Source organism: Homo sapiens, chromosome 8, assembly GCF_000001405.40.
Source record: "Homo sapiens chromosome 8, GRCh38.p14 Primary Assembly".
In the NCBI taxonomy this organism is placed as follows: Eukaryota; Metazoa; Chordata; class Mammalia; order Primates; family Hominidae; genus Homo; species Homo sapiens.
In genome coordinates, this window is record NC_000008.11 from 142,977,213 (window position 1) to 142,997,712 (window position 20,500).

The 20,500-nt window shown below is 48.8% G+C and overlaps 1 long non-coding RNA gene and 1 pseudogene across 2 annotated transcripts in view, besides 3 other annotated features; one reads left to right on the forward strand and one right to left on the reverse strand.

The window, feature by feature from the left end:
* Window positions 1-4,818: 4,818 nt before the first annotated feature.
* The window catches only part of LY6E-DT (LY6E divergent transcript), a 36,360-nt gene continuing 20,678 nt past the window's right edge, over window positions 4,819-20,500 (reverse strand). Inside the window, exon 2 of the long non-coding RNA NR_026913.1 lies at window positions 4,819-5,289. This is a non-coding gene — a long non-coding RNA (LY6E divergent transcript). The remainder of the gene's footprint in view (window positions 5,290-20,500) is intronic.
* Window positions 5,007-5,137: a silencer, noted in NCBI's record as "fragment chr8:144063636-144063766 (GRCh37/hg19 assembly coordinates)". NCBI's record gives its function as "represses an EF-1alpha promoter that drives an FKBP-Casp9 reporter gene in an ReSE screen in phorbol 12-myristate 13-acetate-treated (for megakaryocytic differentiation) K562 erythroleukemia cells {active_cell/tissue: K562(+PMA)}" and the evidence as "EXISTENCE:reporter gene assay evidence [ECO:0000049][PMID:32094911]".
* Window positions 11,524-12,025: an enhancer, noted in NCBI's record as "H3K4me1 hESC enhancer chr8:144070153-144070654 (GRCh37/hg19 assembly coordinates)". NCBI's record gives its function as "activates a minimal SCP1, AML or CMV promoter by ChIP-STARR-seq in primed H9 embryonic stem cells {active_cell/tissue: H9 hESC(primed)}" and the evidence as "EXISTENCE:reporter gene assay evidence [ECO:0000049][PMID:30033119]".
* Window positions 15,091-15,598: an enhancer, noted in NCBI's record as "H3K27ac-H3K4me1 hESC enhancer chr8:144073720-144074227 (GRCh37/hg19 assembly coordinates)". NCBI's record gives its function as "activates a minimal SCP1, AML or CMV promoter by ChIP-STARR-seq in primed H9 embryonic stem cells {active_cell/tissue: H9 hESC(primed)}" and the evidence as "EXISTENCE:reporter gene assay evidence [ECO:0000049][PMID:30033119]".
* CDC42P3 (CDC42 pseudogene 3) lies at window positions 18,616-20,451 on the forward strand (annotated as a pseudogene). The gene has a single exon (NR_102426.1). The product of NR_102426.1 is annotated as a CDC42 pseudogene 3 (transcript).

A 20,500-nucleotide genomic window follows, 5' to 3' on the forward strand; every position in this document is an offset into this window, starting at 1 on the left:
CCTTCTCTTCCCTCCCCTTGTAGCATGGAAGAGACAGCCAAGGGGTTGAGGACATGAGGAAGTGATGGAGATTGGGAAGTCACACTGAGGCACAGGCTGGAGCCTGGCAGCTGCACAAAGGTGTGGACCCAGGGCTCTGGCTTCCTAGGACACAGGGGGTGGCAGGAGTGCAGGGGAGCCCCTCAGAATGCAGGCCACTGGGCCCCATTGCCAAGGGGTGTCAGGGAAGGGGCACAAAGTGAGTGGACGGAGGCCATCAGTGCAATAGGGAGATCAGTAATGTTAAGCAAACAAGTAAATATATTCAGGATGAAGGAGATCGAGTTACTCCCTGCTGGGGAAGACATTCACAAACACAGAAGTCTGAGAGGCTAGAAAGAATCCTGGGGTGTTGGGTTGGAACTGAGAGTACTGGTAAGAACTCATGGCTGTTGACTAGATGCACAGATAGATACAAAGATACTTACAGATGAGTGTCGTGTACGGATAAACACACACATACTTCCCAGGCTGCCCACTGAGAGGACTCAGCGGCATTAACACCCTGGCAGCAATGAGCAGACCTAGTGCCTGGATCTTGGTTTCTAAACACCATCCTGCACTAAAAGGAATGATTCCAGGGCCAGGCAGGGAAAGAGTAAAATGAGCCTGGGACATCCTTTTGTGCCATAAAGGACAGACTTAGTCAATGAATGATATAGGCTTGTCAAAGGGACACAGCCCGAAGGGGCTCCCATGCCTAAATCAGAAACCATTTTAACATCAAAAATAAATGATTGCCCGAGCATGGTGGCTCATGCCTATAATCCCAGCACTTTGGGAAGCCGAGGCGGGTGGCTCAGTTAAGATCAGGAGTACAAGACCAGCCTGGACAACATGGTAAAACCCCATCTCTATTAAAATAAAAAAATTCACCGGGCGTGGTGGCAGGCGGCTGCAGTCCCAGCTACTCAGGAGGCTGAGGTAGGAGAATCACTTGAACCTGGGAAGTGGAGGTTGCAGTGAGCCGAGATTGTACCGTTGCACTCCAGCCTGGGTGACAGAGACTCACTCTCAAAACAAATAAACAAACAAACAAACAAATAAATAAATAAAGGTAATTCATGGATTATAGCCCTCTGAATAAAATAGGAACCCACAAGTTAATAGTGTACATGAAGGAACAAGGAAGATGAGAAAACACATTTGTTAATAGTCACATATCAGCTAATAAACGCAGAAGGAATTACAGAAATGAAGGTTTGTCCATGGGCAACTCTCCTGGAGGCGGCTAATTTGGGGCGGTTGTTCGAGCTGTGAGGCTGCTGGGTGGAGACTTAAAGAACAGGACATTGGTGGAATCCGGAACGACTCCCACAAAAGACCAATCAATTACAAAGGGAAAAAGGAGATCTCAGGTGGAGAAACCTGGCCGACCCCCACAGGACCAGGGGCCAGGGCTGGCATCCGAGAAAGAATGATGGCAGAGAGTGCACGTCCGCAGCACGATGGGGCAAAGGCAGTGACCACTTCCTGGAGAGACAGAGGGGACATGGGAGCTCTTAGTACTGCTCTGGAAACTTCTAAGTAAGTGTTGCTTAACATTTCTTATACAGATTACATAGATAAATGATAGATAGATGATAGATAGATGATAGATAGATGGTAGATAGATAGATAGATAGATAATAGATAGGTGATAGAGATAGATGATAGAGATGATAGATATAGACAGATAATAGATAGATGATAGAGATTAGATAGATAGATAGATATAGATAGATAGGTAGATAGATAGATAATAGATAGATGGTAGAATAACATAACAAACACTTGTAAACTCACCACCCACATATGTTCTATTTTAACATTTTGACATAGTTGCTTCTAATTATTTTAAAGACATGATTTGGCCGGGCGCGGTGGCTCATGACTATAATCCCAGCACTTTGGGAGGCCAAGGCGGGCGGATCACCTGAGGTCAGGAGTTCGAGACCAGCCTGGCCAACATGGTGAGACCTCCGTCTCTACTAAAAATACAAAAATTAGCCGGGCATGGTGGCACACACCTGTAATCCCAACTACTCGGGAGGCTGAGGCAGGAGAATCGCTTGAACCCAGGAGGCGGAAGTTGCAGTGAGCCGAGATCGCACCACTGCACTCCAGCCTGGGAAACAGAGTGAGACCCAGAGGTAACCCCATCCTTCACACGGGGCTATCCTTGCCCTCCAAATGTGTCTGTATCTTTGCTAAAGATGTGCTTAATACACAGTGTCTGTCAGGCTGGTTGAAAATTTTTACATCATGGCATCCCCTACGCACGCCTGTGCGGTTGCTTTCTCACTTGCCATCGTCTGGGCACACGACGGGGGGGATGTTGGTGCAGGTGGTGCAGGTGCTAACCTGCCTCCCGTATTTGCGCCCTTGTAGTCCACACCTCATGGATCTGGGTAGGGCCTATGTTGTAGTTCTGGGTCTGAGTCTCACGAGGACTGGGCAGCTCTGTCTTATGCCTCTTGGAAGCCAGAGGTGACCATGGATGAAGCCCAGCTGCCCCTCTAAAGACACCAGGTGGAGAAGCCACGTGCAGAGGGAGAGAGCCTGAGGCTACATGGAAAGAAATCGGGGAACCCAGCTGACAGCAGGAATTGAGGCCCCAGAAATGCGACTCCAGTGGAGCGGCTCCGGCCAGCCTGCAGCTGTCCAAGCCACAGAGCCACGAGCGAGGAAGGAAGCCAGCACAGACATTCCAGCCCTGCCATCTCGCAGGCAATGGGAGGACCTTCCACGTGTGCCCTCCCCACCGCTGTGCACAGAGCTCTCTTGGCCCCACAACCTCCCCAATGCTCGGTGTGGTTGGTCTCCTCAATTTTCTACATTTTGATGAATGTGCTGATGTATCTTCTGCTTTGCATTGCATTTCCCTGGTGTTAATGAGGTTGGTCACCATTTCATGTTTATTGGCCACGGGACATCTTCTTTTGTGAAGTGTTTGTTCAATTCTACGCATATTGCCTCCTAGGCTGCCGGTCATTTTTTCATTGGTTTGTAGAAATATATATATATATACACACACAAGCACACACACAGAGGCAGGAGGAGAGAGAGAGAGATGATTCAATTTAATATGTTCATTACATACTTCCAGGGTTTTTTGTTTATTTGTTTTTTGTTTTTGACACAGAGTCTCGCTCTGTCGCCCAGGCTGGAGTGCAGTGGCGTGATCTCGCCTCACTGCAAGCTCCGCCTCCCGGGTTCACGCCATTCTCCTGCCTCAGCCTCCCAAGTAGCTGGGACTACAGGCGCCCGCCACCACGCCTGGCTAATTTTTTTATTTTTAGTAGAAACAGGGTTTCACCATGTTAGCCAGGATGGTCTCGATCTCCTGACCTCGTGATCCACCCACCTCGGCCTCCCAAAGTGCTGGGATTACAGGCGTGAGCCACCACGCCTGGCCAACTGCCAGGTCTTATATGTTAATATCTTGTTGAGGATTTCTGTTTATGTTCATGAGTGAGACTGGTCTGTAAGTTTATTTTTTCTCTGTTGAGTTTGGGTATCACGTTTTCCTGGAGGTGAAACATGACAGGTGGAGTTGCTGTTCCCATTATGCCTCGGCTCTAGAAGAGTTTGTGTGAGATGGGTGCTATTTATTCCTTAAATGTTTAGTAGAATTCACTGGTGAAGCATTTGTGACTAGAGGTTCCACTGTGTGAAATATTTTCATGACAGATCCAATTTATTTAACAAATGTGGGGTCATTTATCTTTCTTCTTTCAGTTTTGGTAAGTTATAATTTTCTAGGAATTTTTCCATCTCATCAAAACTTTCAAATTTGTTAGCATGTTCCTTGTGCTCTATTTTTTTTCTATTATCATTATACTTTAAGTTCTAGGGTACATGTGCACAATGTGCAGGTTAGTTACATATGTATCCATGTGCCATGCTGGTGTTCTGCACCCATTAACTCATCATTTACATTAGGTATATCTCCTAATGCTATCCCTCCCCCCTCCCCCACCCCCCGACAGGCCCCGGTGTGTGATGTTCCCCACCCTGTGTCCAAGTGTTCTCATTGTTCAATTCCCACCTATGAGTGAGAACATGCAGTGTTTGGTTTTCTGTCCTTGCGAAAGTTTGCTCAGAATGATGGTTTTCAGCTTCATCCATGTCACTACAAAGGACATGAACTCATCCTTTTTTATGGCTGCATAGTATTCCATAGTGTATATGTGCCTATTTTTAATATCCACAGATCTCCAGCAATCTCCCCTTTTCCTTCCCCATCACAGGGTGCCTTCCTTCATTGTTTTTTTGGTCAGCATCACCAGAGATTTACGAGTTTGGGGCACTTTCAAAGAATCGATAGTTGACTTTTTTGGCCCTCAATGGAAGGTGTGTTCTGAAGGTTTCTCCTCCCTGTGTCTCTAGCCCTCCCTCTAAGGACGTTTCAAACACCTCTTCTATACCAATCAGCTCATGTCTCCTGAGGAAGAACGCTCTTGATTTCTCTTGTGTGAGTCTGTATTTATTTCACCTTTATTCTTGGAGAGTATTTCCACTAGGAATAGAATTTAGGTTGGCAGTTAATTATTTCACTTAACAATTAAATTCTTTCAATATTTTGAAGATCACATTCCCTTGTAGTTTGGCTTTTATATTTCTATTTCGAAGTCAGATGTTAGTGTGATTGGTGTCCTTATGAAGGTAATGTGGCTTTTTTCCTCCAACTGTTAAGTGTTCTATTCATCTTTGGTTTTCAGCAATTTTACTATGTTGTGTCTGGGTGCAGTTTTCTTGTATTTACCCTGCTTGGGTTTGTAACACTTCTTGAGCCAGGACTTTATAGCTGTTTTATTACCTTTATCTCAATATCTTGAGACATACCATAAAATCTATCATAACCTGGTAGCAGGATCCAAAAATTCAATCACAGAAAATGGGGGCAGGTGCCATTACTGTGAGGCCAGTGAAAAACAATGTTTTCAGCTACTAACCCAGCCATGTGTGACCACGGCCTGGGCTCGGCACTGCCCTGTGTGTTGGCCAGTGGCCCATGATGATCTAGTGAGGCTGGAAGGCTGGATGGAGCCAGGAAGCAGGTGCAGGCTGAGGTCGCGGGGCAGAGTCTGGTGCTGGGTGATGGGGAGAGAGAGGACGCTTCGGTCTCTGTACGGGGTGGGGAGCTGGTACCAGCTGCAGCCGACAGGTAACTGTTTCTTTCACTCTCCTGAGTTCTTGTTCAGGATGCTTCAGCCCTGAGGCTTTGATGGGTGAAGAAAGTTCCCAATGGCTGTGATACACTCTTCCCTGCACAGAAAATAAACATGTAGCTTTTAATACAAGAACTCACATGATTGTTTGCTTTTTCTTTCAAATACTCCTGTTTTTATACCTTGGAATCTTGTCTATTTTATCTTGTTCCCAGTTTATTTATTTATTTTTTTTTTTGAGATGAAGTCTCGCTCTGTCGCCCAGGCTGGAGTGCAGTGGTGCGATCTCAACTCACTGGAAGCTCCACCTCCTGGGTTCAAGAGATTCTCCTGCCTCAGCCTCCCAAGTAGCTGGGATTACAGGCGCCCGCCACCACACCTGGCTAATTTTTTTTGTATTTTTAGTAGAGATGGGGATTCACCATGTTGGCCAGACTGGCCTTGAACTCCTGACTTCAGGCAATCAGCCTGCCTTGGCCTCCCAAAGTGCTGGGATTACAGGCATGAGCCACTGCGCCCAGGCTCCCAGTTTATTCTTTTACGTCTCCAATTATTTAAAACTATGTATCATGCAGTGCCTCTCCAAAGTGCTATTATTCCGCGGTCTCATGGAACAAATTCTGCCCTTTGCTGTGCCTACAACATGTCGCCCTCAGTGGGTGTGTTACCTAATGAGTTTTGAAATCATGAATCTTGAAGCTGTCTTCTGGGAGCCCCTATTTCAGGGGATTCCTTTCCCTTCATATCCAGGTCTCATCTTCTTTCCCCAGGAGCCGCAGGGATGTCACTAAGGCAAGACCACACTTTGGTGTGATTTATTGGCTTGGCACCTCTGCAATTATGCAGGCAGCATCCACTCCAACCCCAAAGCCATCTGAAGTTCAGGCCTGTGTGTACATCTCAGGGCAGTTGTTTTTTTTCCTACCCAGAAGCCAGGCCGATACAGGCAAAATCCCTTTTCGTTCCCTGTTCTGCAGGGTAGAGGTTTCTGTAGTCCCCCCTGCAGAGACAGCGTGGCCCTTCCAAAGTCCTGCTTCCTGCAAGGTCTCAGTTTTACGCCCCCCAAGGCCAGAGCTTGTCCCCAAGACCCTTGGCTAAGCACACCAGACCCCTGCAACGCTGCAGGCAAACGGTCCTGGATCCCAATGCCCTCTTTGTTGTGCGGTATCAATTCACCCCCCAGATTCCCCTTTGCTTGTTGTAAATTCAGCGTACTTTTCAAAGAATTCAACTTTTTCAAGTATCTTCTAGCTCAAACTTTTGTCAAAAATGAAAACCTCTTAAAATTCTCTCTTCTTTTATCTTTTATTTCAAAGGATATTAAATAATAGTACTCAAGGCTGGGCGTGGTGGCTCACACCTGTAATCCCAGCACTTCGAGAGGCCAAGGCAGGGGGATCACTTGAGGTCAGGAGTTCGAGACCAGCCTGGCCAATATGGTGAAACCCTGTCTCTACAAAAAAAAAAAAAAAAAAAAAAAAAAAAAAAAATATATATATATATATATATATATATATATACACGTATCATATATATACACACATATATACACGTATATATATATATGTGTGTATATATATATACGTATATATATAGACACACACACACACACACACACAACATTAGCTGGGTATGGGGGTGCATGCCTGTAATCCCAGCTACTTGGGAGGCTGAGGCAGGAGAATCGCTTGAACCTGGGAGGCGGAGTTTGCAGTGAGCCAAGATTGCGCCATTGCACTCCAGCCTGGGCAACAAGAGCGAAACTCCATCTCAGTAAATAAATAAATAAATAAATAATAGCAGTACTCAAGGTAAAATCCAGAACTTGCCGTAGTTTCTCTGCCCTCTACTGGTGAGGCCTCACCGTTTGAATTGTTTCAAAAGCCCAAGCCTGTAAGTTCACCCCACATGGCCTCTCCCATCTCAGAAGGGACACAGGGACAGCCAGTGTTCTCTAGGATTGGCAGCTCCTCTATTCTTTATCCCCCAGATCCCCCAGGGACCGGGGATGAGGACAGGCCAGCTGATTTTTCTCCTTTCCCACTTGGGATGCTGAGAGGTGAACTGGCTGCATTCCCTAGGAGAGATTTTACAAGTACATTAACACGCAAGGGATAAAGGCAGCAAAGACTGGCATGAATTCCTGATGCTTGCAGCTCACAGCTGCTCCCTGCTGGCTGCGTGTGGCCACAAGACCTCTCTCCAAGAGGGTGCAGGAGGAACCTCCTTGGCTGGACTGAACCTGGGGCTTCCTCCAGCTGCTCCCGACAAGGACAGGGCAAGAGAGGGTACTCGAGCTGGCTGTTTTCCTGCCCATGGCAAGAGTCCTCTGGTGGGCATCTTTGGCTTGAAGGCAACCTGATGGCTGGCTGAGGCTTTTTTAGAACTGTGCTGAAGTTGGAAACTCTTTCTATGCAACATCCTTCTTGGGTCCTAGCAGGCCATGGGCCAAGAAAACAGACAGCAAGGCCGGGCGCGGTGGTTCACGGCTGTAATCCCAGCACTTTCAGAGGCTGAGGTGGGCGGATCACCTGAGGTCAGGAGTTCAAGACCAGCCTGGCCAACGTGGTGAAACCCCATCTCTATTAAAAATTCAAAAATTAGCCAGGCGTGGTGGCAAGCACCTATAATTCCAGATACTCGGGAGGCTGAGGCAGGAGAATCGCTTGAACCAGGGAGGCGGAGGTTGCAGTGAGTGGAGATCGTGCCATTGCACTCCAGCCTGGGGCACAAGAGCGAGCCTTCATCTCAAAAAAAAGGGGAGGGGGAGGAAAGGGAAGGGAGAAAGCAGACAGCAAGTGGGATTTTGAGACCAGCCAGCCATGGCCTGCCTGGCAAGGGAGGGCCACCTGGAGTGGAAGGTGGGACCTGGATGGTCCCTGGCTCAAGGCAGGGGCTGGTCACGGAGGGTTCACTGGCGGTGGCCTGAGCAAGCACCCCGGGAAGGACTATGCTTTAGCCCATGTGATGGTTAAGCGGCCTGGAGGGTCTTGGGGGCAAATGCCTATAGGGACAGCCATGCGCTAGCCGTCATCAAGTCACACTAACCCTACAGGGGATAATGAGAACACCAGGAGGTGCATAAGCGTCAGGACAAGTGTGAAGGCATGGGCCCCTGCAGAGGATGGGCAAAGCTGTGGGGCAGTCAGAACACAACAGAGTGCGAGCCCAGGAAGCTCTAATGCTCAGCCAAGGCAGGTCTGTGCACCAAGGCTGGGTCCCTGGAGGTGAGACCCAGAGATCCAAGGGGTGGATATCGGGAAGTGCCTGCAGACACCCTGACCCCACAGGCAGCAGGTGCATCTGTGCCGGGGCCAGTCGCCTCCATTCTGGGACACACCCTGCCCTCCTGGCCTTGGTGGGGTGATCTTGGGTTTTATTATTACTGATGTGCTGTCTTGACCCAGTTTTGAGGCCCTAGAGGCCGGTCAGTTCCCTCCTTGAGCAGCCAGTTAAGTCCACACCCAACCACCTCCTCATTGGCCCCTCACACTCCAGGCCACTGCACATTTGTCCAAATCTGCCCCAGGGCCAAGGGCCAGACTATCAGGGACAGCCCTGTGACCCAGAGCTCAAAATCACCCAAATTAGCCAATCCACAGGGAGCCCCAGAAACCCAGCCACCCCACCTGCTGTCCACACACCAGCCACCCGGCAGCCCCAGCTGTCTGCTACCCTGTCCCCGGGTGCCTCATGCAGCCCTGCCTGGACGCCTTCCTCGTTTGGAGCTGTAAGTGACAGAGTGCTCTGCTTTTCATCTCTGGAGTGTCAGTGTGCCGTGCCCTACCTCAGAAGAACTTTCAGATCCTATATAATGGGTGTCCAGCCTGGCCTCCAGCCCCACCCCCAAGAGGGCTAGGCAGGGTGTCCTTCTGCCGTTGCCCAGGGTTGATCTGGGGCAAGGGGCCGGTGGCCAGTGCTGGTTCGTCATCTTGCCATCTATTAAACATATTCTTAGGCATTATTTTGTTGCTTTTGACTCTGTTACATGTAGAATTCATTGTTATTATTTCAATTTCTATGATAACTGGTTGTTGCCAGTACATAAAAGCAATTTTATATGTTCAATCACTTACTCAAAGCATCTTATTGGTTCTGTAGGTTATCAGATGAATGAAGCTTTTGGATCTTCTCGATGGGCATCCCTGTCTTCTGCAGGGAGGGGAGAATGTCAGCACTTCTGGCCTACCGTGCACAATCTCTACTGCATCTGCCTGCCTTCATCTGCCATGAGGATCCCCAAATGCAGGTTGAGGGGTAGCAGTGAGACAGGCATCCCTGACTTTTTCGCAGCTTTAATGCTGATCACTAATATTTCATCAATTAATATGTTATCTGTCCTTTTTGAAAAAGTAGGTGTGATTTGTAGGTGCATTATTTAAATTCCATATTTTATTTTACTTTATTTTTTTGAGACAGAATCTCACTCTGTCGCCCAGGCTGGAATGCAGTGGCGTGATCTCGGCTCACTGGAACCTCTGCCTCCCAGGTTCAAGCGATTGTCCTGCCTCAGCCTCCCGAGTAGCTGGGACTGAAGGCATGTGCTTCCACGCCCGGCTAATTTTTGTATTCTTGTATTTTTAGTAGTGATGGGTTTCATCATGTTGGCCAGGCTGGTCTCAAATTCCTGACTTCAAGTGATCTGCCCACCTTGGCCTCTCAAAGTGCTGGGATTACAGGCGTGAGCCACCACACCCGGCCCCCTTTTATTTTAAATAGAAGATTTTATGAGAAATGACTGCTAAATTTCGTCAAGTACTTTTTTCACTAATTACAACATAATTACATGATTTGTGTACTTTAGTGTACTGATGTAATGTATTATATTCTGCTTCCTAATATCAAGTCACTGTTACATGTATGCAATCAAAGCTTGACTATGGTGTGCTGTTCCTTAATAAATGACTGTGTACAAATTTATGATATTTTATTTGGATTTTTGCGTCCATTTTACAAAATAAATTGGAATATTTTTCTCATACTATATCAAAATTTGATACGAAGTTACATTAGCTATATAATATGAATTGGAAAAATTTTCACCTTTTTCTATTTTCTGGAATATTTTTTAAAATACTAGAAGAACTTGTTCCTTACCAATGAGGAAGAAGTCAGCTTTAAAACCATTTGGTGTTGGCACATTTTGCACTAACAAATGTTAAATGGACTTGCCAATTTCTTCCTTTTTTGATTTACCCAAGTTTTCCACTTATTCTGGTAATGTATTTCCTCTCAATTTTCACATTTCTTGCCATAAAATTATACATATGATATAATTCACTTAATCATTTTATTTTTTATAGTCATGTCTTTGTTGAAATATGTTCCGACGTCTTTGATACCCCTCCTTTCTAAAGGCAGAATCAGCCTTAGAGGCTCACACCCCACACATGGAATGTGGCAGAGTGACACTGTGTGACTTCAGACATGAGGCTGCAAAGAACACTGCAGCCTCCGCTGTGCTCTCTGGGATCCCTGCGTGGAGGAAGAGGCCACCCATGAGGACACTCAGCGAAGACGTGCAGAGATGACCACGTGCCAAGAATCCAAGGCCTCCCGCCAAAGGGCAGCATCTGCCTGCCGGCAGCACAGTGCACCATCTAGGAGATGGGTCCTCCAGCCCTAGCCGAGCCTTCGGACCACTTCACCCCAGACAACATCTAGCCTCACGCAGCCGGAACCACCTGTGGCGAAGGCTAAAATGACTCCATCTTGGATGCTGACCCGCCATGTGGACTTCCGATGAACCCTAGTTCTGGGTCCTTAGGTCAAAACAACCTTAATGTTATTGTAAACACAAAATCCTGCCCTTAAGCGAGTTACAGGCTGCGGTGCAGGTGGCATTCTTGCCTTCTCCTGAGGGTGGACCAGCAGGCGGCATTCTTGCTTCTTCCTGAGGGGTAGGCCAGTTGTCTTACACATCCTTCTGAAGCTCCCGCTCCCTTTCCCTCTGCTACCTAAGCCCTGGGTCCGCGGGTAGCAATGCATGGATCTCGCGGCCGCCCGCACCGTGGCTTCTGCTCCCATCGCACTGTTGAATGTTTCTTTCTGAGAAACAGGATTTGTCGGCCTTTTTCTTCAGCCTCTCAGCTCCCTCAGCCTTTGTGGGTAAGTGGCATAGACCTGCTCGCCACAGAGCGCCACCCAGCAGGCTTTTCTGAACAACCCACAGAAACTGCGATCGTAAATGCTTTTTGACGTTGTAAACCTCTAAGTTTCAGAGCAATTCTTTTAATGTGACAATAGATAACTAATGCACCAGTATTGTTTTATTTTCTCTCTCCCATTTATTTTCAGCCAGCCAGAAAAAAGCAGTCTGTTTGTCGAGCTGATCCTGTAAATCTGATGTTAGTAAAAACGGGGACCCTGCCTCCCTACTGAGACCAACCCCCATCCCCATCCTGTCCACACCCTGCACAGCTACGGCAGTGAGTTTCAATCTACGGCGGGCTTTGGAAATACTCACAGTTAAATGCCAACAATGACCACCTGTTTCCTCAGGTTGGTTTAGGAGACCGTGAAACCCTCTACTCACCTCCAATTCCCAATTAATCACACTCATGGCCGCTTGCTGTTTCTACGAACGAAAAGCCTGCATTCCAGCAGATGTGAGCGTCTCCAGAATCTCCGCTTGAGTTGCCCCAGAAACACCTAGAGCCCAGTCTCCACGCCTGCGGGGGAGCCACACTCCCCGGGCTGCTGCGGCCCCCAGGGTGCCACCTCCCTCTGCAACAGCCTTTAACAGCTCTGCAAGTTCTGTGGGGCTGTCCCACGGAGAGGTGAGGTCTGAGAAGGGAGTGGAGGCACAGGGCTCCTGCGGCCACGTCAGAAACGCCCTGCAGCTCCCACCTGACATCTTCGGAGGCTCCACGAGAGGAGACCAGCCCCATGCGGAAAAGCCCAGCACCCTGTGAGCGCCACTCTGCAGACACCATGTGTGGCGTCCAGGCAACAGCCCCGCCAGAGCTCCAGCCTCATGGGTGTCCCATCTTGGACTCACAGCCCAGTGACTTCTGAACACACTCATATGACAGACTCAGGAAAGAATTGCCCCAAAGACCCCTCCCCGAATTCCTCACCCTAAAATATGACCAAAATAAGATGGCTGTTTTCAGCTGTAAGTTGGGGATGTGTCGCACGCCGACAGAGACAGGAGCGCCCTCCTTCCAAACCATAAACCTAGCATCGCTCGACAGCACCGAAGCCACTTCCAGACACTCTGCTGAAAGGAGTTTGGGAAACGTGTTTGGCTTTCTAGTCTCTGCGGGAGAGCAAGGTGTGCCCACAGAGGGCAGAATGGATGTAGTGGGGCCGCCTCTGGACATCCCAGCCTCTGAGTCTCAACCAAGCCAGCACGCCGTCGCGGGCGAACCCATGCAGGGCTCCTTGCCGTCTCTGAGCTGGGACGTCCACAGCGCTAAGTGACTGAACGCGACATGACATGTGCACAGGAGGGCTCTGGAATGGCCACCTGTGTGTCTAATTCAAAAAGCTTTCATTTTACACACCCCTGACACAGTGCACCAAGAGCCTGGCTCCCAGGCTCACAGCACGTCCATGCATGGGGGGAGCGTGTGTACACATGCATGCATGTGATGTGCTGTGGTGTGCGTGGTGTGCCCGTGCACAAATGTGTGTGTCAGTGTGTGGGTATGATGGGCGTGCACGTTTATGTATGGTGTGTATGTGGGTGTGAGGTAGGTGTGCATGTGTGTGGTGTGTGTGGGGGTGTGAGGTAGGTGTGCATGTGTGTGGTGTGTGGGTGTGTGGTAGGTGTGCATCTGTGTGGTGTGGGTGTGTGGGTGTGATAGGTGTGCATATGTGTGGGGGTGTGTGGTAGGTGTGCATGTGTGTGGTGTGTGGGTGTGGTAGGTGTGCATGTGTGTGGTGTGTGGGTGTGGTAGGTGTGCGTGTGTGTGGGTGTGGTAGGTGTGCATGTGTGTGGTGTGTGTAGGTGTGTGGTAGGTGTGCATGTGTGTGGTGTGTGTGTGTGGTAGGTGTGCATGTGTGTGGTGTGAATGTGTGGGTGTGTGGTAGGTGTGCATGTGTGTGGTGTGTGTGGGTGTGGTAGGTGTGCATGTGTGTGGTGTGTGTGTGGTAGGTGTGCATGTGTGTGGTGTGTAGGTGTGTGGTAGGGGTGCATGTGTGTGGGGGTGTGGTAGGTGTGCATGTGTGTGCAATGTGGGTGTATGGGTGTGTGGTAGGTGTGCGTGTGTGTGTTTGGTAGGTGTGCATTTGTGTTGTGTGTCTATGCGTTTGGTAGGTATGCATTTGTGGTGTGTGTGTGTGTGTGTGTGTGTGTGTGTGTAAGGATGGGTTCACAGTGCACTGGGCCTGGCCTCGTGAAACCCGTGTTTGGAATATGTGGTTCCAGTCTCATAACCTACATGGGCAACCCCACATTGTCCCGCCCCTGGCTACCGCACAAAGAGAGGTTTCTCCCGCTGCGCCTCAGGGGTGCTACTCAGCGCTTTTTCTGTCCAGGAAAGCCTCCCCAGCATCCACCCCACCACTCACAGCTTCCACCCACCGCCCACAGCCTCCAACCACAGCCTCCACCCACCACCCACAGCCTCTATCCACCACCCACAGTCTCCACCCATGGCCTCTAACCACCCACAGGCTCTACCCACCACCAACAGCCTCCACCCACCACCCAGTCTCCACCCACAGCCTCCACCCACCACCCATAGCCTCCACCCAGCCTCCACCCAGTCTCCACCCACAGCCTCCACCCACCACCCACAGCCTCCACCCACAGCCTCCACCCACCACCCACAGCCTCCACCCACCACCCACAGCCTCCACCCACCACCCACAGCCTCCCTAGCCTCCACCCACAGCCTCCACCCACAGCAGCAGGTGAGCACAGGCGGGCATTCTTCCCAACCCCAGGAAACTCCAAAGAGCAGATTTGCCTTCTAGAGGAAAGGAACCCCAAGACTCCAGTTGGGGAGACTTGCTGGGCAGGCCTGGGGCCCCTGAGCAGGCCCAAGGCAGGGAGCAGCTAAGGCCTCCAAGAACAAAGCAGTGACCCTGGGCGCTCCCTGAGCAACTGGAAGCACCGGGTGTTCTGACAGCCCCCAGGAGCTGAGGAGAGGGGCAGGGCCCCAGGCCGACCATAGCCTCCACATTCATAGCACTCTTTGCTGGCCCAACCTTCCAAGATGTTTATCTTTCCATAAACAAGAAAAGAACACCTCAACTGCAACTTTAGCCTGCAACACCCGGTCCCCAAAGCTAGTCTGTTAGAATGCACACCGACAAGCTGGATTCCAAGCGGACCTTCCCAGGTGCAGAACAAAGGCCAGGTGAGATTCCTCTGCCTACCTGAGACCAGAGGTCAGCAGGATTAACTCTTCCTTTGCCTCCCCTCATCCCCAGCAATGTTTGCCCACGGATTACTGTTGGGCACTCGTTAATGAAACCAATTTGCCTAAACGCCTGCCCCCTCTTCCTGCGCTCCTTCTCCCGGTTAAAGAAACGTGTTTATACTGAGCCCCCTACAGACCTCCTCAGAGGACACGGGCCACAGAAGCTTCTGGGCCCACATTTTTCCCGACCATGCCCTCAAGCTGTGGCTCAACAAGCTTCAGCTGATGGAGACCCCTGCTTCAGTCTCCCAGGTTGGCCCTGGGTAAAGGATGAGAAACCCCATCAGACGTGAGAGGGATCAGACATCGAGGCTGCAGGTTTTGGGCTAAACTGACTTAGCAGGATTCTTGCTAAAATTGAATCGTAGAGGAAAGGCACAGATGGGCCTGGGGGAAGGTTCAGAAGCTTGATTACAGATTGGCCAAGCAAACCATCCTCATCAGGTGCTGGGGGTCAGCACTGTGGGGAGAGCAGCCACAGGAAGCCTGCAGGGTCTTCCCAAGGCCAGAGCGGACCCGGAGGAGCCACCCTGAGCCATAGCAGAGCCCAGCTGGCGTGGGTGGGGGCAGGGAAAAGGGAACTGCAGGGATTCTGTGTCCCTGCAAGCAGGAAGGAAGGGGCTGGGGCTGTACTGAACCTGCATCAACAGAGGCCAGCTCCTGCTTCAAATGCAGGGTCCTCTCCCCCTCCAATTGGCTGTGTGCCCAATGGTGTCTGGGAAGCAGGCTGCCACTCACCCTGCTGGGAGTGAGAAAAGAAAAGAACTATTATCTGAGAAATGTGAGTCTTTTTCTATTATCAGGCCCAGAGAGATACTGACATGAGACAGCAGGTGCTTCCTTCTACTACCTTGAGCTATGGACTCATCTCCGGTGGTTGCCATTGCCAGCAGCTATGAATTCACCTGATAATGCCACACTGGAAACGAAAACCCACACCCTGGAGCTTAACCATGTCCAGCCAATCACCCAGCAATGTCACTTCTGTGAACCAATCAGAATTCCTGACAAACAACGTTATATCAGCCACACTCTGCCCCCTTTTTGCCTTTAAAAATTCACTTGTATGGCTGGTCGCCATGGCTCACGCCTGTAATCCCAGCACTTTGAGAGGCCAAGGCGTGCAGATCACCTGAGGTTAGGAGTTCGAAACCAGCCTGGCCAACATGGTGAAACCCCATCTCTACTAAAAGTACAAAAATTAGCCAGGCATGGTGGCAGGTGCCTGTAATCCCAGCTACTTGGGAGCCTGAGGTAGGAGAATCACTTGAACCCAGGAGGTGGAGGTTGCAGTGAGCCAAGATCACACCATTGCACTCCAGCCTGGGTGACTAAGCAAGACTCCGTCTCAAAAAAAAAAAAAAAAATCATTTGTAGCTGGGCTCAGTGGCTCACGCCTGTGATCCCAGCACTTTGGGAGGCCAAGGCAGGCAGATCACCTGAGGTCAGGAGTTCAAGACCAGCCTGGCTAACATGGTGAAACCCCGTGTTGACATTTTTGTAGAAATCTCTACAAAAATACAAAAATTAGCTGGGTGTGGTGGCACACACCTGTAATCCCAGCTACTCAGGAGGCTGAGATGGGAGAATCGCTTGAACCCAGGAGGCAGAGGTTGCAGTGAGCCAAGATCGCGCCACTGCCCTCCAGCCTGGGCAACAGAGCAAGACTTGTCTAAAAAAAAAAAAAAAGACTTGGAATCCATAGAAAGGAATGTCTGGGTTAAGATAAGGGATTGCGACACCAAGATTCTTCTCATTCAGGTAAAGCCTCCAGATAGCAGGCTTCAGGGAGAATGGAATGTAAATGTTTCTTATCAGATCTAAAAGGGTGTCAGTCCCTTAGCTGATTCTCTCCTGGGTCAGGAAAAAGGCCTCAGAAGAAGGGGATTCTCTACAGACTGTAGATGTTTCTCCCACAAGAGACAACTTTGCACGGCTACTTCAAGATATGGCAAATAAACGTATATGCATTTAAAATACCTCATTTCCTTCCTTGTCCGTCATGTGATGCTACACCACAGTCAGGCTGGAAAGGCAGCCGTGTTATGTGGGGTTAAATAAAACCCATTTGAGAGACTCTACGGTCTGTAGGGCACACTCCCCAGGCCTCTTAGGTAGGAATTTGGGCAAAAGAAGAAAAAAGGGCCAGAGTTTAGTCCTCAGAACGCTGACGTGGAACCCCCTGCCCTCAGCCAGCTAGCCTGCCCTGCCCTGTTCAAGCACCATGGGGCCAGGAGTGCCTGAGGGTGGAGGCAACTGGAGGCAGCTGGAGGCAACTGGAGGCAGCTGGAGGCAGGCCCTGGAGTGGTGGGCAGCCCTCCCAGCCTCCTAACCCATGCTCAGACAGGTGACCACTGGCAGGCCCAGCTCCAGGCTAGCCCCAGGGACAGGGAGACCAGTCCCCCTCAGTGGGAGTCTGAGAGGGTGACTCTAAGATTCCCCACCAACACCAACCACTGACTGGTGTGGAGGAAGCCCAGGGTGTGGGACCCTAGCACGGTAGGAGGTGGCCGTCAGGACCAGGAGTGTGAGGCTGGTGGGAAGAAAGGACCTTTTGCCAAATAGGAGGTGGTGTCTTCTTTAGGTATGTCAGGGTGGGAGGCTCCCACTCCATGTCTCATTGACCATCAACAACGGTAGCCCCAGATCCCCAGTGCCCAGCCAGCCTCTCTGGGACCTCTCTGTGCAGGTAAGACTTTGTAAACACTGAAGGGGCTCTTCCTGCCTGCTGCATAAAGAAAGACCATGGCATTGCAATAAGGAAAGAGTTTAATAGACAAAAGGCTGGCCACGCTACAGAGATGGAGTTAGCACTCAAACAACCTCATGCAAAACTCACAGGTTAGGGGTTGTTCAAAGACAGTTTTAGGGGAAGGAGTTGGGGAGGCCAGGTAATAGGTGCTTGCTGCTGATTGCTTAGAGCAGAGATGAAATCACAGGGGGTCAACGCTGAGTCCTAAGGACTGAGTCACTTCTGGGTGGGGTCACACGAGTGGGATTGGCAGGTCCAGGTGGGTCCAGGTGGAGCCACGGTCATGCACAAACACTGGAAAAGATTTCTCAAAAAGCCAATCTACAATAGTGGTGTTATCTGCAGGAATAACTGGGGAAGTTGCAGATCTTATAACCTCAGAAAAAAATGGCTGACAACCCTTTCTGTCTGTGCCTTACCAGGACTCAGGCAAGCTCCACCTCCTGGGTTCAAGCAATTCTCATGCCTCAGCCTCCTGGGTAGCTAGGATTACAGACACATGCCACCACACCTGGCTAATTTTTATATTTTTTGGTAGAGATGGTGTTTCACCACCATGTTGGCCAGGCTGGTCTCAAACTCCTGACCTCAAGCGATCTGCCTGCCTTGGCCTCCCAGTGTGCTGGGATTACAGCTGTGAGCCACCATGCCCAGCCCAGTACCTGTTTTTACTGAAGACAAATCATAGTAGGACAAATTTATTTAAAATAATTTTTCATCTTATACTTGGCCTGAGTGTTTGCATAATGTCAGCACGAATAATTATTTGCCATATAGGCCTGTCTTAAAATTGGCTTTGCTGGAACTTTATTCTATAACGAATCCCAGATTTGACTTTTTTTAAAGCCTTGAGCCCAGCCATGATTTATTGGTGCCTGAAAATACCTATATAAATTGGGCAATGTCCTCTCCTCAAGGTCCCAGGATAATTTGGGGCTCCTGAGCCTGTCAGAAAGTGACATTCTTTACATACTACAGGCAAGGAACTCTGTACAGTGACTGTGTAGACAAGGGATGAGGCCAACTTCATAAGTCAGCTTTGACTCCTTAAAGCAGTCTGTTTGTATCCAAAAGTACATCCTTCCGGTCAAAGCTTTGGTAAAATAACCAGTGTCTCCAATTATGTCCTGTTACAAAAGAAAATACATTCTTATTGAACTTATGCAAATAACTATACTGCCGTAAATTAAGTATACTTGCAAATAGTTTTCAAATTTCTACAGAAATCAGGTAGACAGAAATGTACTTCAGAGTTTACTCACAGGAGGGTACTTTACCCAGTTGTGAAAAGCTGTAGAGTGCTGCTAATGCCCCAGTGAAGAAGCTGAGGTCAACATCAGATTTGAAATATTTAAAGTGGATACAAACTTATTTCAGCAATGCAGACAATTAAGTGTGTTTTTGTGGGCAATGGTGCTGTTGGTAAAACATGTCTCCTGATATCCTACACAACAAACAAATTTCCATCAAAATATGTACCAACTGTTTTTGACAACTATGCAGTCACTGTTATGATTGGTGGAGAAACATATACTCTTGGACTTTTTGATACTGCAGGGCAAGACGATGATGACAGATTATGACCGCTGAGTTATCTACAAACAGATGTATTTCCAGTCTGTTTTTCAGTGGTCTCTCCATCTTCATTTGAAAATGTGAAAGGAAAGTGGGTGTCTAAGATAACTCACCACTGTCCAAAGACTCATTTCTTGCTTGTTGGGACCCTAATTCATCTCAGAGATGACCCCTCTACTATTGAGAAACTTGCCAAGAACAAACAGAAGCCCACCACTCCAGAGACTGCTGAAAAGCTGATCCGTGACCTGAAGGCTGTCAGGTATGTGGTGTGTTCTGCACTCACACAGAAAGGCCTAAGGAATGTATTTGATGAAGCAATATTGGCTTCCCTGGAGCCTCCAGAACTGAAGAAGAGCCACAGGTGTGTGCTGCTAGGAACATCTCTCCAGAGCCCTTTCTGCACAGCTGGTGTCAGCATCATACTAAAAGCAATGTTTAACTCAAACTAAAGATTAAAAATTAAAATTCGTTTTTGCAATAATGACAAATGTCCTGCACCTACCCACATGCACTCGTGTGAGACAAGGTCCATAGGTATGGCCCCCTCTTCCCCCTCCCAGTACTAGTTAATTTTGAGTAATTGCGTATTGTCAGAAAAGTGATTAGTACAAGTTTTTGTTTTGTTGCTTCAAAATTTTTTTGTTTAAAAGCAAGGCATGCTTGTGGATGACTCTGTAACAGACTAATTGGAATTGTTGAAGCTGCTCCCTGGTTCCACTCTGGAGAGTAATCTGGGAGATCTTAGTGTGTGTGTGTGTGTGTGTGTGTGTGTGTGTCTCCTCTTTCTTTGGGAGGAGTGTGTGTGGGGTTTATTTTTTAGTCCTTTTTTTTTTTTAATTCATTAACCAGTGGATAGCCCTTAGGGGAGGAGGACGGATTGATTCCACATTCCACTTCCTAGATATGGTTTAGAAAACATGTTCCCCACCTGGGGCTCTCAGGAAGGAGTATAGTAAATGCCTCATTTAATAACAGACTCCTTTTTGAAAGTTGCCTTTTCTCTCCACCTTTGAGTAGATCCAGTATTTGATGAAACTCATGAAAGTGGGTGGAGCCTGTCTTGCCCCTCCTCTTTTCTAGGACACACTATATGTGACTGTGACTTTCAAAGACATTTGTTTGCCATTTGCTGATTTTGGGGGGAAGTTAATTTCTAACTTCTTTCACTAATAAATGAAGAAAAGTATTGCACCTTTGAAATGCACCAAATGAATTGAGTTTGTAATTAAAAATTTTTTTCCCTGTCAGTCATTGTCTCACATGCTTAGCATCGATTTGCAGCTCAGTAGTATATGGTGTTCCTAGAATGCAGCTGAAGACCTGGTATGTAGAGGAAATACCAGGGGTGGTGCTAGAAGATAGACATCTGTGGAATGATTCACATCCTTTCATTAGGAGGATAGAGGCCTTCTTCATTAAGAAGCTGGGGGTGGGGAGAACACATAACAACATGGGGACCAGTCAGGGGAGTCCCCTTATTTCTGTTTTGCATATGAGGAACCCTACAGCAGCCAGGTGAGGCTCTCTAGTTTAATAAAAATCATGGAAAGAGTCTTTTTTTTTTTTTTTTTTTTGAGCTGGAGTCTGGCTCTGTCACCCAGGCT